Genomic DNA, 17,419 nt, shown 5'->3' with positions numbered 1-17,419 from the left:
CAACTTTCAGTTATTTCCACTTGTGTCATCTTCCCTAGGATTCTTCTGTGGCAAATTTTTAGCCGTATCCTGTTTCCCTCTAGTGTCCTTATATAGGTATCTCTGGTGTTCCAACCCACCACTTATGGTAGAAAATGGAAATTATAAACTACAAATTCTTAATGAAAATCAGGGAGAAAATATATTCCAAAAATGAATGAAATTCTTCTTTTTTGTTACCAGCTGTTTAGTTACAGAAAGTGCAATATCTTCCATTTTTAAACATATTAAATATTTAAAATTCCTTTTTTTTTTTTTTTTTGAGACGGAGTCTTGCTCTGTCACCCAGGCTGGAGTGCAGTGGCGCAATCTCGGCTCACTGCAACCTCTGTCTCCCAGGTTCAAGCTATTCTCCTGCCTCAGCCTCCTGAGTAGCTGGGACTACAGGCGCCCACCACTACGCCCGGCTAATTTGTTGTATTTTTAGTAGAGGTAGGGTTTCACCGTGTTAGCCAGGATGGTCTTGATCTCCTGACCACATGATCTGCCTGTCTCCGCCTCCCAAAGTGCTGGGATTACAGGGATGTGCCACCATGACTGGCCTAAAATTCTTTAAAAATCAACTATGGAGTTAAACATGGAATGACCGTAGGAGACAGCAGTTCTTCTCCTACGCATATATATAAGAAAAATGAAAACTTATGTTTTACATAAGAACTTGCACTTAAAGTTCAATGCAACATTATTCATAACAGCCAAAAAATGGAATAAATCCAACTGATGAATGGATAAACAATATGTGGTATATTCATGGAATGGAATATCATTCAGCCATAAAAAAACAACGAAGCACTGATAAAGGCTACAGCATGAATGAACCTTGAAAACATTATGCCAAGTAAAAGAAGCCAGGCACAAAGTGTCACATATTGTATTGTTCCATTTGTATGAAATGTCTAGAACTGGCAAATTCACAGAGACGGAGAGTAGATTAGTGGTTGCCAGAGGCTGGGGAAGGGAAATATGTCTCTTTTGGGGTTGATGAAAGTCTTCTGGAATTAGGTAGTCATGATGGTTGTACAACCTTGGGACTACACTAAAAAACTCTGAGTTGTATATTTTTAAAAGATGAACTTTGTGGTATATGAATTATATCCCAGTGAAAATTAATTTTAAATTTAAGCTCACGATTATGGTATATCTGACTTCATAAAAGTCACTGAGAACTGATGTATGTGGAGTAGGCCTTTATAGGGTTTTTTATTTGGTTTTTATTGCTTTTAAGAATATTTGGTTAGATATGTTGGTGTGAATTTCCTTTAAGCATTAGACTAATGTAAAAGACTTTTGTACAAGACATTGGAACAGTGAACCATTCTACAAACATTTATGACCACCTATTACAGGCCAGGCTGTACGTTGAGCATAATCAACAAAAGGATGAGAATACACAGATTATTTTAGTGCTTGTAGTCTAAGGCAAAAGATGAGCAGGTAATTATGATGCAGAACAAGCGCCAAAAGAGAGTCACAAAATGCTGTGTTGAGAAAATGAAGCGGCACTCAAGGATTCCTTAGGAAGATATGAAATCAGCATACAGGGCCATTTGATCTTTCTAAGACTTTAGAGTTAAAAAACAAATAACTTCAAAGAACTTGCGCGGAGCGGGTGGGAAGGGTAGTGGGGAGTTGCAGGGAACATGGGGATGGTTAATGAGTACAAACAGTAGTTAGAATGGGTAAGACCTAGTATTTGATAGCACAACAGGGTGACTACCGTCAGTAACAATTCAATGGCACATTTTAAAATAACTATAAGATTATAATTGGATTGTTTGTAACAAAAAGGTTAAGAGGGCCAGGCGCAGTGGCTCATGCCTCTAATCCCAGCACTTTGGGAGGCTAAGGTGGGCAGATCACCTGAGGTCAGGAGTTTGAGACCAGCCTGGTCAACATGGCAAAACCCCATCTCTACTAAAAATACAAAAATTAGCTGGGAGTGGTGGCAGGCACCTGTAGTCCCAGCTATTCGGGAGGCTAAGGCAGGAGAATCTCTTGAACCTGGGAGGCAGAGGTTGCGGTGAGCCGAGATTACAGCACTGCACTCCAGCCTGGGCAACAGAGTGAGACTCTGTCTCAAAAAAAAAAAAAAAAAAAAAGGATAAATGCTTGAGGGAATGCTCAATAAATGGATACCCCATTTATTAAGATGGGATTATTACACATTGCTTGCCTGTATGAAAGTATCTCATGTACCCCATTACATATATATGTGTACATATATGTATATACGTGTATATATGTGTATATATGTATATATATGTGTATATATGTATATATGTGTATATATGTATATATGTGTATATATGTATATATGTATATATGTATATATGTGTATATGTGTATATATGTATATATGTGTGTATATATGTGTATATATGTGTATATATGTATATGTGTGTATATATGTATATATGTGTATATATGTACATACATGTGTATATACGTATATATGTGTATATATGTATATATGTGTATATATGTATATATATGTGTATATATGTTTATATATATGTGTATATATGTATATATGTATATGTGTATATATGTATATATGTATATATGTATATATGTATATATGTGTATATATGTATATATGTGTATATATATGTATATATGTGTATATATGTATATATGTGTATATATGTGTATATGTGTATATGTGTGTATATGTGTATATATGTGTATATGTGTATATGTGTATATATGTATATATGTGTATATATACGTATATATATGTGTATATATACGTATATATGTATATATACGTATATATGTATATATGTGTATATATGTATATATGTGTATATATGTATATATGTATATATGTGTATATATGTGCATATATATGTGCATATATATGTGTATATATGTGTATATATGTGTATATATGTGTGTATATATGTGTGTATATATGTGTATATATGTGTGTATATATGTATATATGTGTATATATGTATACATGTGTATATATGTGTATATATATGTGTGTATATATGTGTATATATGTATATATATGTGTATATATATGTGTATATATATGTGTGTATATATATGTGTATATATATACATACCTACTACGTACCCACAAAATTAAAAGTAAAAATAAATTTAAAAAAGAAAAAAAGCTGATGAATGCTTGCTTCTTCTACTCCTTCCTTGGGTTTCTAGGCTGCTGGGAGGCTGGAAGAGTATACATGAAATGCAGGGTTAGAGGAGCTTCTTCCCCTCTTGGTCTTCAGCACATTTGAAATAAAATATTCAGGGGAGTAGGCAGCAGAAAACAGGGAGCATGTTTGTTCCCCTCTTACTGCTTCTCCTTCTCCAGCCCCTTTGGCAAGCTACCTGAGCCCGTTATGCCTGAGTTTCTTCCTCCATAAAATGGGATTAACAATGTCTGGATATCCTAGGTTTTTATAAGGATTATGTTATATACTATCATAGAGAATTTAGCATAATGCCTGGGCCATAATAAGAGCACATCAATTAGAAGCTGCATTATTGATGCATGCATATCACTCATTAATCTTCTCCCTTCAAAAAAAATGACACCCCTCTATTTTAGACTCTTCAAACAACCTGAGATTAAAGTTGCTAAGTGGATGGAGGGAATGGAAGTGGCAATTGCTGAATATGCTTTTTACATGCCAAGCACTGAGCTGGGCACCCAAACTAGGCTGCAAATGACCACCTATGTAGTGGTATTTCTGAAGGGCAAAAAGGCCTGAATGCTTCAGAAACCACTCACCCCTTCACTCCTGAATTAAAAGTCAATCCAGAAATTATATAGGCTTGAGACTCTTAAATTACACATGTGCTAGAAGTGAGACTCTGAGATCTCAGCAGTCATTAAATATCCACGTGCATGATGAGTTTGAGAGCAGGTGTTGAAAGAAAGATGTTGGGAGGAAGAAGTGGCAGGAAAAGGTGTTGACACCAGGGTAAAGAGATGAAGGGAAAAGAACAGAGAGGCTGGGAGTAGAGCAAGAAATGAAATCCAAACTCAATCTGTGGCACAAATTTGGTGAAGGCCAATCTTTAGTCTTCCAGCTGAGTACATGGGTATCAGAAATACCTGAGCACCAATTAATATTGCTTTTGCCCTGTGTTCTCCACAGATTTACTGAAAGAGATACCTTCATAGAAACTTTTATCCTGTGGGTCTATCTCCTGGAACCAGACTGTAACATCATCCATATGAGTAACAATGTGCTGGAGGTGCCTGAATTCAATGGCTTGTCCCAAGCGATTGATAAAAATCTGCTCAGATTCGATTATGATAGGATGGCTAGCCTGGAATGTACCGTCAGCCTGGACACTGCGAGAACTCGGCTGCCAGCCCATGGCCAGATGGTTCTCGGGGAGCCTCGACCAGAAGAACCTCGTGGAGATCAGCCACACAGTTTTTTCCCAGAGTCCCGTATGATGTCTTTTAATGCCTTTCTGGGTATTACCAAAACTGACAAAAATATCCATGCATGCTCACCTTCCACCATGATGAAGAGTTCTAGTTAACTAGTCATTTTAGCTGGCTGAACAGTGTCAGTTAGTGGTTAAGAGCACAGACTTTACAATCAGAAAGACCTGGTTTTGAGAACTTCATCTGTTCTTTATTTTCTGTGTAATTTTAGTTATTAACCTGTCTAAGCCTCTCTAAAATGAGAAAGGAAAATAGCTGCCCTGTAGGGTTGGGTAAGGATAAGAGTAAATGAGGTTATACATACACACAGTACTTAACACAGTGTCTGGCTCACAGTAGGTACTCATTGTCAGCTGTTATTAGTAATAGCAACAGTAGTAGTTGGTGCATTTATGGAGTATTATTGGATTATGAGCAAATTTGAAGTAAAGCTAGTGGGTAGCAGTGATAGACGAAATTAGGAAGAGTTTATGGGTAACATTCCTTCTGCTATTCACTCAATCAACCTATTTTGGGCACCTCCTGTTCTCTCTAGAAACTATGAGAAGCCAAGAAATATAAGGGATAATCATAGCAATAGTAGTAATACTTTGAATTTTGGACAGAATGACAGTTAACGGCACATTTGTTCTATTTTGTACGTCTGAGAAATGAGACTCCAAAAAAAAAAAAAAAAAGTGGGTGGCTGGGCATGGTGGCTCACACCTATAATCCCAGCACTTTGGGAGGCTGAGGCAGGAAGACTGCTTGAGGCCAGGGTTTCAAGACCAGTCTGGGCAACCTAGCAAGACCTCATCTGTACAATTTTTTTTTAATTTGAAAGTGGCTTATGAGTATTATATACTAAACAAGAGTGGAAATACATTTGGTTAGAGATGTGAAGACTGTTGGAGAGACAATTATGGTTTTCAGTGAGAAAGAGCATGTTGGTTCAGGTGGTCAAAGAATGTTTAAGGGAAGGCTTAGTAAAAAGACCAGGTGGACCTGGAAGGATACGCAGGATTTGAGTGCGTGATAGCCACATGGGGAGGGGATTTCAGTGAGTAGACAGCCTAGTAGAGATTGTATGATAGAGACATGGAAGCTGATTCTGTAAAGGAAAGACTGGAGCTAGACTGTGGAAGGCCTGCAGTGAGTCACTGGTCTATTTGTCAGAGATGTTCAAGCCTCAGACAACATATTTTATTATTTTTTCTCTCAGTTTAACTTTTGGTGGGTGAGGGCACGATGAGACAACTGGTCAACCGTTTTTCAGTAAAGGAAACTACAAGCTTTCAGAATAATGACAACCCACTCAGTGAATGATTGGAAGGTACATGAGTGTTCCTGAGGCAGTGAGAGGGAATAAGTATTCATGGGACGGAGTACTGGTTTCTAAATTTTACAATTGTTATGTTTAAGTGACTCTCTTAATCCAGTGCTGTACATTCTAGAACTGAGAGCAAAACTGAAGTGTCCAGGTGGGAGCTGTACCCCAGGATTAAAGAAAATAGGAAGCCTCAAAGTGAGCTGTGAGGAGTTCCTGCTGATGGGCCTTCGTTATCAGCATCTGGATCCCCCTTCACCCAACATTGATTATATCTCCATCCAACTGGACCTCACAGATACCAGGAGCAAAATTGTGTACAAGGTAGAGTTTGGGGTTATGTGTGGGTGCCCCCAGGATTCACAGTAAGAGAGCCAGTTACACAGGCTTACTCATGCTCGCCCCCATGCCAGGGAGAGTTCCTGTGCTTTTGGGGGTAAAACTGCCAGCGACTCATTGGAACTGCAGGCTTGTTGGTTCTGCTAGTAAGTGCTTAAAACAGTAGGTTTTGTATAAAATTTCCCTTCTCTGGTTCTCTTCTAGGTCCACCATCAGTACAGCAACTTGGGAAGGACTGGGGCTAGTTACGTGCTAACCTTCTTCCTCCTTTACTCCCAATACTCTTCAGCTTGTCATTTGACCTTTTATAACACCTTCTCTTTGATGCTTCCTTTTGTCCTTCTTGAAATCAGGGGGTCCACTCTGCAAGGTCACAGGAAACTAGGGGGAGGGAGGAGAATCTCAGTCCCATGGTTATGTTTGTCACAGATTTGTCACTCTTCCAGGCTTTGGGATGAAGGGCTAGCTCATCAAGGAGACAGGCTCCCAAAGACCTCCTGCGTCTTCCAATCTCTTTTAATTCTCTTGTTTTTCTCCTATTGATCTCTATATATTGAAATAATGACAGAAAGTGGATTCCATTTATTTGAAATATTTAACATGCAGTGCTGCTGATTCATGAACTCTATAATTTGTTTATTGGGGAAACCGGGGAAACTGCACCTGCTGAAACAGCTGAGATTTTTTTTTTTTTTTTTTTTTGAGACGGAGTCTCGCTCTGTCGCCCAGGCTGGAGTGCAGTAGCGCAATAATGTCGGCTCACTGCAAGCTCTGCCTCCCAAGTTCATGCCACTCTCCTGCCTCAGCCTCCCGAGTAGCTGGGACTACAGGCGCCTGCCACCACGCCCGGCCAATTTTTTGTATTTTTAGTAGAGAAGGGGTTTCACCGTGTTAGCCAGGATGGTCTCAATCTCCTGACCTCGTGATCCACCTGCCTCACCCTCCCAAAGTGAAACAGCTGAGATTTTGTGCTGAGGAAAGATGATCCAAGATGATGTTTGGAAATACTTCTATCTTTCACAATCTGGCTTCTCACTGGGATTTCTCCTAAGGGGCCCAGTCAAATATTGAACATTATTACCCCAAGGAATTGATATGACAAGGAATCATAAAGAAATGATAAAACAAAATCATAGAATTAAGATCTGGAAAAAAACTGTGAGGCAGACTAGTCAAATTGATCAGGTAAATCACTTGGGTAGCTTTTCAAGGATAAATTTCTGAGTCCAAATAATAGTTAAGAGCATGGACGCTGGGCCCAGATTGCCTGGGTTCAAACGTCCACTTAACTAACTGTGTGACTTTTGGTCTCATTTTCTTCAACTTAAAGTGGGTTTATAGTACCTATTTCTTAGAGTAACTGAGAGGATTAAATGATAAATACTTATTATGTGCTTGACATAAAACCTGGCACATAGTAGCACTATGCATATTGCTGGTTTTAAAAGTCACCCAGTAAAAAACTCATTAGCCAGGTTTGCAAAACCAGGCTGGGTTTAGCTCAAGCTTCCTATTTTATAGTGGTGGCCCCGAGAAGTGACATACCTTGTTCATACAGACCTAAACACTAGGTCTATAGACAACTAATAGATGTTTTCTGTTTGTTTTAACACAAAACTCCTTTCACTTTTAATGATTTATTATATCCATTGAAAAAAAATTGGAGCCATTTTTCTTTTTGATCAAATTTTCTCATTTTTTTCTTACTATATTGAATACGCCTTTATTTGTTTATATTTTAAAATCTGTTTTATTGGGAGTTTATCCCTTTACCTTCTTGCTTTGTTTATCATTAACCTATTCCATAGCTTATTTGGCATGTCATAAAACAGATTCATTTATGAATATAAAAGTAATAGGCTCACTGCAGAGAATATTAAAAAAAACACAGAAAGCAAGATAAGAAGAAAATAAATATAGCTGTATTTTTACCATTTTTACATACACACACATGTGCATGAGTGCATGCCAGAGTTGGTTTTGTTTTATGGAATCGCATTTATACTATATGTGAAGTTTTGTATCTTGTTCTTTTGTTATTTTTATGGTTGTACAGTCAATTCTCATCAAGTGACCAAATGATCCTTCACTCATAATTTCTTCTAGATTTTTAAAGGTCTTCTTCCTTACATTTGCCTTTTTAATCTACCTCAAATACAATTTTATTATATGATGAAATACAAGGAACAGTTTTTTCCAAATAGCCCAAATTTTCAACACTATTCATTGAACAATTAACTTGTTTCCCATTGATTTTAGATGATCTTCTATTGTATATAAGGATATAACGTATACAATTTCAAGGCTAGCTCTTTTATTTCTTAGATTTACCTACTTATTCTTTGTCAGTCTCATATTATTCTAAACATAATAGGCCTATAATTTTCTTACAGACAGGTTCTTCCTTATCACTTCTCTTCAAAATTTTCATGGCCATTATCACCTAGACTTAGTTCCAAATAAATATAATTAAATCATTTATGTTAGTTTAAAAAAAAGCCCCTAAGGATTTTTATCAGTATCCAATTAGAACTATAAATTATTTGGGGAAAATTAGAATAATGGAACATTTACAATATTAAGTCTTTTCATCCAGAAATGAAGTATCTCACTTTATTGAACAAAGGTTCTTTTATAGGTTTCTGTAAAGTTCGTAGTTTCCTTCATGTAAGGTGAGCATACTTATTAAGTCCAGTCCTAGGCACTTTGTTTTTGTGAACCTATGGTGAATAGAATATTTTTCTCCCATTATATCTTCTCAATGGTTATTGATGATAAACAGAAAAGCTATTTTTGGAATAATTTTCTTTTATCTGGCTTCTTTCCTGAATTCAATTATTTTAAGAAGTTCTCAATTCTTTGGGCTTTTAAAGACCATAATTATATCTTTCACTAGTGATGATAATTTTGTTCTTTCTTTTCCTGTAATTATTCTTCTTATTTTTGCTCTATTCCCCACTGGTTTGAGAAGAACAATATTAAATATAATGTTATTTGTAAGAATCTTTGTCTTATATTTTTTACTTTTATCAACTGCCCACATTGAATTCATCTTTGAAATTATGTGGTCTCTCTGCTTTTTCCATTAATGATCAATTTGTATCACCCTTTTCCTTTTAATCTTTCTATGTAATTTTAAGTGCCTTTCTTGTAAGGTACATATAATTGGACATTTTTGTTGAATTTCAGACTATTTGTCTTGAATAAGGAAATATAAACTTTATATTTGTGGTAGTAATAGATACACTTTTTTCTATCATGTTTTATGCTTTCTTGCTAATTAAAAAAATTTGTCTTGCAAAATAAATGATGTTTTCTTTGCCTTTATCTTATTTGACAATTCCTTATCACAGTTGATGTTTTATTTGGACTTAATTCTAAACTTAAAAATATTCTTAAGCCTATATTTGTAATATGTACGGTGAAAAAATGAAGTGAGCTCTCTTGGCTCCTTCCTATGTATGATGATAACTGATCCAATTGATCCTTTCTCCTGGCAATTGCTTTGTTTATATAATTTGCAATTTCAGTTCTAGCATATGATTGTTATACTTTATTACAAGCAGTAAGCTCTTTCATCATTTGTATCCACTTTATTAACATGTTTAAAATAACGTACTTATTTAGACTTGACTCTAGACTCAATTGGTCTTAGCATTAAGCACCAGTCCTTCTAAATCACAATTTACCCCTCTTGAGTTTTCTAATTATGCATCTTCAAATAATACTTCTTCCCAGTGACACACGAAGATTAGATACTCTAAACCCTGGGACATCTCAGTATCGTTCACCTGCCTTCATCAACCATGCAGTGGGAAGGGAAGGGGTTGATTGTCTTCTCCTCTATTCCTCTCTTGCAATTCTCTTTTCTCTGGGCATTGCTGGTTAGTTTCTTAATTTTCAGACTGGTGGCAGGGGTGGTTTTGGGGAATGGGAGAGAGGGATCTTATTTGATCAGGCATTGATGACATATGATTTCATGCTCTCTGAGCCTGGTAGATGTCTCAAGCTGCATCTTTGTCTTAGGGACAAATTTATGGTTTCTCTGGAGAGTCCCATTCATTGATCTATCACTCATAGCTCTCTTAAGAGGATTATTTCTAACCTGAGTGATCACTTGCAATTTCTCCTGCAGCTCCTAGGATTTGATTCTATCTCCAGCATTTTCCTACTGGATTTTTGTCCTCTCAAGAGTGCACTCTGAAGTTCAGGGTCCAGGAGATCCCAGACCAGCCCTCTGCCCACTAGGCCCTTAACTGGAAACATTTATATGTCCCTTGTTGCCACAAACAAGAACAGACTGATTTTGGCACAGCCATCATTTTTTTTGCTTCCAGCCAGTTAGCTTCCTCAGATATGAGCCCTGCATCAGCTCTCTGTGTGTGTTTCAACTGCAAGAAACACATTTTAAGGGACAGGAGATATGGCATTGCTCTGCTCTTCCTGCTCCGTGCCAATGTTTGGTGTTGAAGGTCAGGAAAGTGACTGAACACAACGCAGCAAAGCACTCCTCTCTCCTAATCAATCTTTTTCTTACCTTTCTCAATCTTTTTATATTCTTATATGGGCAAGAAAGTTCTGGAGTCTGGAATTAGTTCCAGACAACTTGCTTTGTAAATTCTGCATATTTTACTACCTGTCTTACATTCAGTTGCACATCTAATCTCTTTTATTGGAACTTTAGCATTCTGTTATACACAGATTACAACTCCTAGCCCAATGGCAAGTGTTCAGCAGTATGGGACTAATGTGAATTTGGTAACTGAGCCTGGTTCTCTCAGCAATGGGCTAGATCAAATCCTGTGAGAACTAGCATCTACAGCTATGAGGATTCTTTTCTTTTCTTTACAAAGTCTCACTCTCTTGCCCAGGCTGAAGTACTGTGGCATGATCATAGCTCACCATAACTTCAAACTCCTGGGCTCAAGTGATCTTCCTGCTTCAGCCACTCGAGTAATTGGCTATAGGTGTGCACCACCATGCCTGTCTAATTTTATTATTTTTACTTTTTTTGTAGAGATAGGGTCTCGTTCTGTTGCCTAGGCTGGTCTCAAACTCCTGGCATCAAGCAATCCTCCCACCTCGGCCTCCCAGAGTGCTGGGATTGCAGGCGTGAGCTACCACACCTCACCCTGTGAGGATTCTTTCTGCCCATAGCACTTGTTGAGATCTTAGATCTTGTGGCACAATTTCATGGTTTCTTTGGAGGGTCTCTTGCTCATAGTGCTCTCATTTTGGGAGGATGCATGCCTAGCCTCAGTGGCCACTTGCAATCCCCAATGCCCAACCCTTGCTTGAAGATCCAGGGTCTTAACTAGCTAGACAACCAAGCAACTATTCTTCATTTGCATGAGAACCAAATCATAAAGACATATTTCCTTCATCCTTCTCCTGCCCCCTTTAAAACTACATGACAGGAGGTGAGGAAGGCGGCTGGAGGAGGTTGTTGGTGAGTGCCAGATTGCTAAGTGCCTACTTTGGCTATTTCATTTGTCCTCACTTAATTCTTGGTAGTCTAGTATTAATATTTTCATTTACAGCTGGAAAGAAAATGAGACTGAAGAGTTAAGTAACTTGTCTAAAATCACACAAATTAAAAGTGTTGGAGATAGAATGATAAACACAGTTCCTTCTGATGCCAAAGTAGGTGCTCCCTTCTTCACCTGGCTGCATGTAAGAGTCACCAGGGAGCTCGAGAAATACTGGTTTTCTGGTCCCCTTTTTGGAACAATTAAACAAGAACCTCTGGAGACAGATCCTAGGTACCAGCATGTGTTTAAAGCTCCCCAGGTGATTCCAATATGCAGCCAGGCTTCAGGTCACTGCTAGACGCTAGGCTGTGGCTGTATTAAATATTATGCTATTAGCCCTGTATGATATCACCTCATTCATATTATTTCCTCCTTTATATTTTCTCTATCCTTCAAAAGTCAGAGAGTGCGTGGCTGCCTGTCTATATCAGAGCTGGAATTCCGAATCAGATTCCAAAGGCTGCATTCATGGCCGTGTTTATTCTGGAAGTGGATCAGTTCATCCTGACCTCCTTGACTACATCAGTTCTGGACTGTGAAGAAGATGAGACCCCTAAACCCTTGCTGGTGTTCAACATTACTAAAGCCCCGCTCCAGGGCTATGTGACTCACCTGTTGGATCACACCAGACCAATCTCCTCATTCACCTGGAAAGATCTCAGTGACATGCAGATCGCCTATCAGCCACCAAACAGCAGCCATTCTGAGAGGAGACATGATGAGGTAAGAAGGAGAGACAAAGCTTCCAGCCTAGTTAGAAGTCACAGGGTTATTTAAGAACCCCCTACCCTAAACCCTCAGGTTCCTTTGTACATTCATTGCCTCAGAAAAGAATCAATCACTGTAAATCAGGATGCACACTCACTGCCCAGAGGAGCCAGGCAGGTGGGGTCAATGAGCAAACCCCACTGAGGGGCACTGTGGCAAACTGAAGAAAGAGCCATCCCCTCAGGAAGCAGCTGCCACTCAGCTCATGCCCACCACTGCCCTGCAAGGATACAAGTGTGCCCACTGTTGCTGTAGCACTCATGTGCCAAGAGAAATTGGAAAATGATACATTTTTGGTAAAATGCTTAAATTCTTGAATATAGAAAACAATTAAAACTTGTAGTGAAACGTATTGTGCTAGCTACCAAATATTTCTGAGGGCCACATTTGACCCAGGGCTCACCAGTTTGAGAACTGCAGCAGCCTTCGACAGCCTTCCTGAATCACAGAGACCATTGAAGTTAGAGATGACTTTTGTTTACAATTCTTTTATTTTTAACAAAATTTTTTTGGTGTGTTTAAGTTCTGGGGTACATGTGCAGGATGTGCAGGTGTGTTACATAGGTAAACATGTCCATGGTGGTTTGCTGTACCTATCAACCCATCACCCAGGTAGTAAGCCCAGCATGCATTAGCTATTTTTTCTGATGTTCTCTCTCCCTCCACCCCCAACCCCGACAGGCCCCAGTGTGTGTTGTTCACCCAAAATATGGAACACTTTCCGAATTTGTGTGTCATCCTTGTGCAGGGGCTATGCTAATCTTCTCTGTAGCATTCCAATTTTAGTATATGTGCTGCCAAGGTGAGCACACAATTCTTTTATTAATAAATTCTTTTATTCTTTTTTTTTGTGAGAGCTTTTTATGGGAATCCTTAATTTTAATTAATAACACGGACTCAGGATAGGACATTCCGTAGTCTTATTTGATAACTAATTTCACAGTGAAACACAGTCCATCGGGAAGGTCCTACTTCTATCTAATTTCCTTTTGCTGCAGGTTCCACCTCTCTCCTCTGTTTTGTAGTTAGTGGGAGGGGAGGACAGCTGGTTAAAGTCTTCCACATAATAGTGCTTCACATGCTTAAAGAACTACCAGCAACTTGATTCAAACAGGGTGGAAATTGTAAACGAGCAGACTGATAGAGACTTGAGCTCAGGTTTATTAAGGAAAATGATCGTCCCTGGGGTTATCTCTATTGTAATTTCGGCATTTTCAGCATGTAGCCTCAAGGGAAGACAAAGGACTTCAGGCTATAAACGCTATGCTTTGCCTTCTGCTTTTATTTCCCCCTTTTCATCATAGTCTGTGGCCCCCCATGCCTTCCCTGTTAGGAAGTAATTTCTCATTGCACATCCAATCTTAGAGCACTGCTTTTCTGGCCTCTTCCTGTGTGTAGTTTCTGGCATTGTATAATGTACTCTTAAAGCAGAACCTGTGCGAATGTGTGATTTTTTTCGTTAGACAGTAACTCTCAATTTTTTCAGTGGAGATCACACAGTTTTCAGGTTGTGTGGACTGGAAGCCCTGGGCCAGGGCCCAACCGAATGCATTACCCCTCCAAAAAAGACACCTCCTGCCCATGTAGTTTCCTGTTCAGTCTGTTGCTTTGGCAGCCTTGAATCAGTTTCTTTTGTTATTTAGTGTTTGCTGATATAGTGCTGTTTGATTATTTATCTTATCCTCTTCCATGGACCACATGTTCTTCAAAAGTAGGGAGTATGCCTTGCATTTCTGTGTTATACCTCATTCTTCTCTGTCAACATCTGGTGCAATACATACACAGCACATAATAAAGATCAAAACTTATCACGCAGCCCCTACTTACTTATTAGTTATGAATTTCATGAAAGCAAATAAAGTTGAGATATTTAAAAATATGTCTAGTGAAATACATGTCTCTAGATCAGGGTTTCTTGATAGTAGCAGTACGACAATTGCCATTTTGTATCAGATAATTCTTTGTTTGGGAGGTTGTCCTGTGTACGGTAGGATGTTAGTATCCTGGCCTCTACCCACTCGATGACAATAGCATTTTCCCACACACCGACTTCTGAAATTAAAAATGCCTCCAGACATTCCCAAAAGTCCTGTAGTGGGACAACATCACCCCTAGTTGAAAACCACTTCTCTAGATCCTCCACCTTTGAGAAAGATTTAAGTGACTGAATGTGGGAAGGGGTTGGTCTCCTAAGCAAGTGCAGAGACACTTCTCCAGCATATTACCAATTTTAGATTAATAAATTCTTTTATGTAGAAGAAAATTTAAAAATACCGTTAAAGTAAGGAACAAGATCTAGAACCTGAAAAAGTCAAATCAGGATGTCTAAATGAGATGTGGGAACTGCAGAAATGTGAATCCCCGCAGAAAACTGAATCCACTGTGTGTGGGTATAACCCAGAATTAATGCTACTTTACCCTGTAACGCTTCAGTGTGTGGCTCCTTTGCCTCTGTTTGTTTACAGGTAGAATTGGAGGTATACGACTTCTTCTTTGAAAGGAGTGCACCTATGACAGTCCACATCTCCATCAGAACAGCAGATACAAATGCCCCCCGTGTATCCTGGAATACAGGTAAAGCTCAATATAAGGCATAGAGCAACATAGCCCTGAAGGGAATACAAGAAAGTAGATGGGTCAGGAAAGAAAGGTAGTTTTATTCCTATGTCATACATGTGGCAACTGAAACCCAGACAGATTAAGGGCATCACATAGTAGCTTTTGTTGTTGTTTTTTTATTCCTCCTGGCAGCGTGAGAAATTTAAATCCAGGATTTCTGCGTCCTGAGGCCAAGTTCTTTCCTCTGCCGGAGATAAGACAAAGGGACACTTTTCAACTGAATGAAGCAAAAAACTGACTATTTGTGATATTGAGCTGTAGTGGGACTGAAATCTCCAACTCAAATTGTTCCAAGGGATTGGAGAAAGGTTTAGCTTTTATAATCTATAGTCTATTTTTATGTTGGGCTGCATGGAAACTAAAATATGTAAATAAGAGCTTTAACTGCTTTAAAATATGGCTTTCTATGCCTCTCAATTCTGAGTGGACTTATGTGATATATATATGTATATGTTGATCAGATGTAAATGTGGAATGTAAATGGAGATCTTTTCCTTCTCACTGATCCCATCAATACCATTTGAAACATACTTATAAGCAGTGGTGGTAGATAGTATTAAGGAAAAAATATCTGTGTCTGATTTAAATCCTCAGGTGGCAGCTTAAACGAGCTGCCTCGTGTGTGTACACATAGATATGTGTTTGTATGTGTGTGAGTTTCAGCAGAGATAGAGAACATCAGGTGAGCAGCCTTGATTTATAATTCTGGCTATACATCCTACTGTACCTCTGTCAAGGGGGTAATGAGAGAAAAGATGGAATCAGTAACCTAAAGTTTAGGAATAATCACATGTTGCATGGGCTCCTGCCTGAGTGTAGAGATGGAATAGTCTGTACGTGTATGTGTGATCGGTGACACCCAGGTTTGCTCAATGTCATTTTGGCTGCTTTGAACATCAGAATCCCTTTTAAAATAAATGTTTGCTTATTATGAACTTGATCTGTGCCATCGTTGAAATTTGGAGAATGCATCTAAAATTATTATTTCGCCGTGAAGATATAACCAATGTTAATATTTTGCTGTATATATTTCTAGGCTTCTCGATTGTTCCTCTGCTGTGCTCCGTGATGCCTTGTCCTATGCACTCCTGGCTTCCAAACCCTTATTGCCAGTCACAGAGATTCTTCTTATGCACTTCTGTCCATTTCTTCTCCCTCCCACCCTCCCTCCCTCCCTCCCTCCCTCCCTCCCTTCCTTCCTTCCTTCCTTCCTTCCTTCTTTTTCTCTCTCCCTCTCCTTTATATATGTATTAGCCCAATTTCCCTAGAAAACAGACCCCGAGGCAGATCAGATGTACTAACCCTATACTAAAAGCAAGAGTAAGGGGAGAAGCAAATAAAAACGCATGGCTGAGCTGGTGTCACAGCTTTACAATAAGATAAAGCAGATTGCTCTGCAGTGTTGATGTCTCCAGGGAGAAGATGCAACTGCTGTGTCTGGTAAGAGTTGGAAGTGGGGTTGGGAAAAGGTCAACAATCTATTAATGGTCAGTTATTTCCCATCTCCTGTGTTTAATGGGTTAAAGTTTACTTCACTGGCTGTTAACTCCCCACATGCCCAGATTGTGTTATCTGGCCCCTCTTAGCAGCCATTGCACACACTTCCTGGGTCCCCTGGTGCAGGGCCTGATCAGCCACAAGGTTGGTCCTGCCGCCACTAGAGGGCAGTGGAGGTAGCCGGCTGCATCAGAAGATGAGGCAGTGGTGGCAGGAGGGCTTTACAATTTTGGAGACTGGGAACCCTCATGGGGCGGCTGCAGCTAGAGAACAGTCAGTTGGTCGAGGCCGGGATGGCAGGTGAAGCTGGCAGATGTGAGAGAAGCATAAGATAAGTCCAGCAGCACGCTACCTTGCAATTCGACCAGCTTGCTCTGCTCCCTTTCAGGATTATCTGTAATCTGTTGTAATATTGGAGTTAATAGTACTAAAAATAAAAATAGTACTAAAAATAAAAGCTACATTCCAGTTTCTTGAAAAGCTTTTATAGATGCAATATTCAGATGGTTTCATGAGTGGAAATTCACTCATCTTTTCTTAAGCAGGCACGTTGGCATGTCATAGAACTTGCCAATACCCTTTTCTTATCTTTTTTTAAAAAATTTAAGTTCTGGGGTATATGTGCTGAACGTGTAGGTTTGTTACATAGGTATACATGTGCCATGGTGGTTTGCTGCATCTATCAACCTGTCATCTAGGTTTTAAGCCCCTCATGCATTAGATATTTGTCCTAATGCTCTTTCTCCCCTTTCCCCTCTACCCCCGAACAGGCTCTGGTGTGTGATGTTCCCCTCCCTGTGTCCATGTGTTCTCATTGTTCAGCTCCCACTTATGAGTGAGAGCATGTGGTGTTTGGTTTTCTGTTCCTGTGTTAGTTTGCTGAGGATGATGGTTTCCAGT

The 17,419-nt window shown here is 39.1% G+C and overlaps 1 protein-coding gene and 1 pseudogene across 36 annotated transcripts in view; one reads left to right on the top strand and one right to left on the bottom strand.

Moving 5' to 3' along the window:
* FREM1 (FRAS1 related extracellular matrix 1) overlaps positions 1-17,419 on the top strand; it is a 173,844-nt gene that overhangs the window by 47,354 nt on the left and 109,071 nt on the right. For 17 of the 36 annotated variants that reach the window (XM_047422844.1, XM_017014322.2, XM_017014321.3 and 14 more), the window contains 4 exons: positions 4,158-4,486; positions 5,893-6,089; positions 12,035-12,358; positions 14,869-14,977. In XM_047422844.1, the coding sequence (XP_047278800.1) occupies positions 4,158-4,486; positions 5,893-6,089; positions 12,035-12,358; positions 14,869-14,977 (959 nt within the window). Of the gene's footprint in view, positions 1-4,157; positions 4,487-5,892; positions 6,090-12,034; positions 12,359-14,868; positions 14,978-15,154; positions 15,958-16,276; positions 16,463-17,419 lie in introns of those variants that run through there. The other 19 variants (NR_163238.2, NM_144966.7, XM_047422847.1 and 16 more) reach the window with 6 other exon arrangements.
* Positions 13,107-13,213, bottom strand: RNU6-1260P (RNA, U6 small nuclear 1260, pseudogene; annotated as a pseudogene).

The sequence above is a fragment of the Homo sapiens genome, chromosome 9 (genome assembly GCF_000001405.40).
Source record: "Homo sapiens chromosome 9, GRCh38.p14 Primary Assembly".
Lineage (NCBI taxonomy): Eukaryota > Metazoa > Chordata > Mammalia > Primates > Hominidae > Homo > Homo sapiens.
This window is presented reverse-complemented; position numbering and strand designations above follow the sequence as displayed.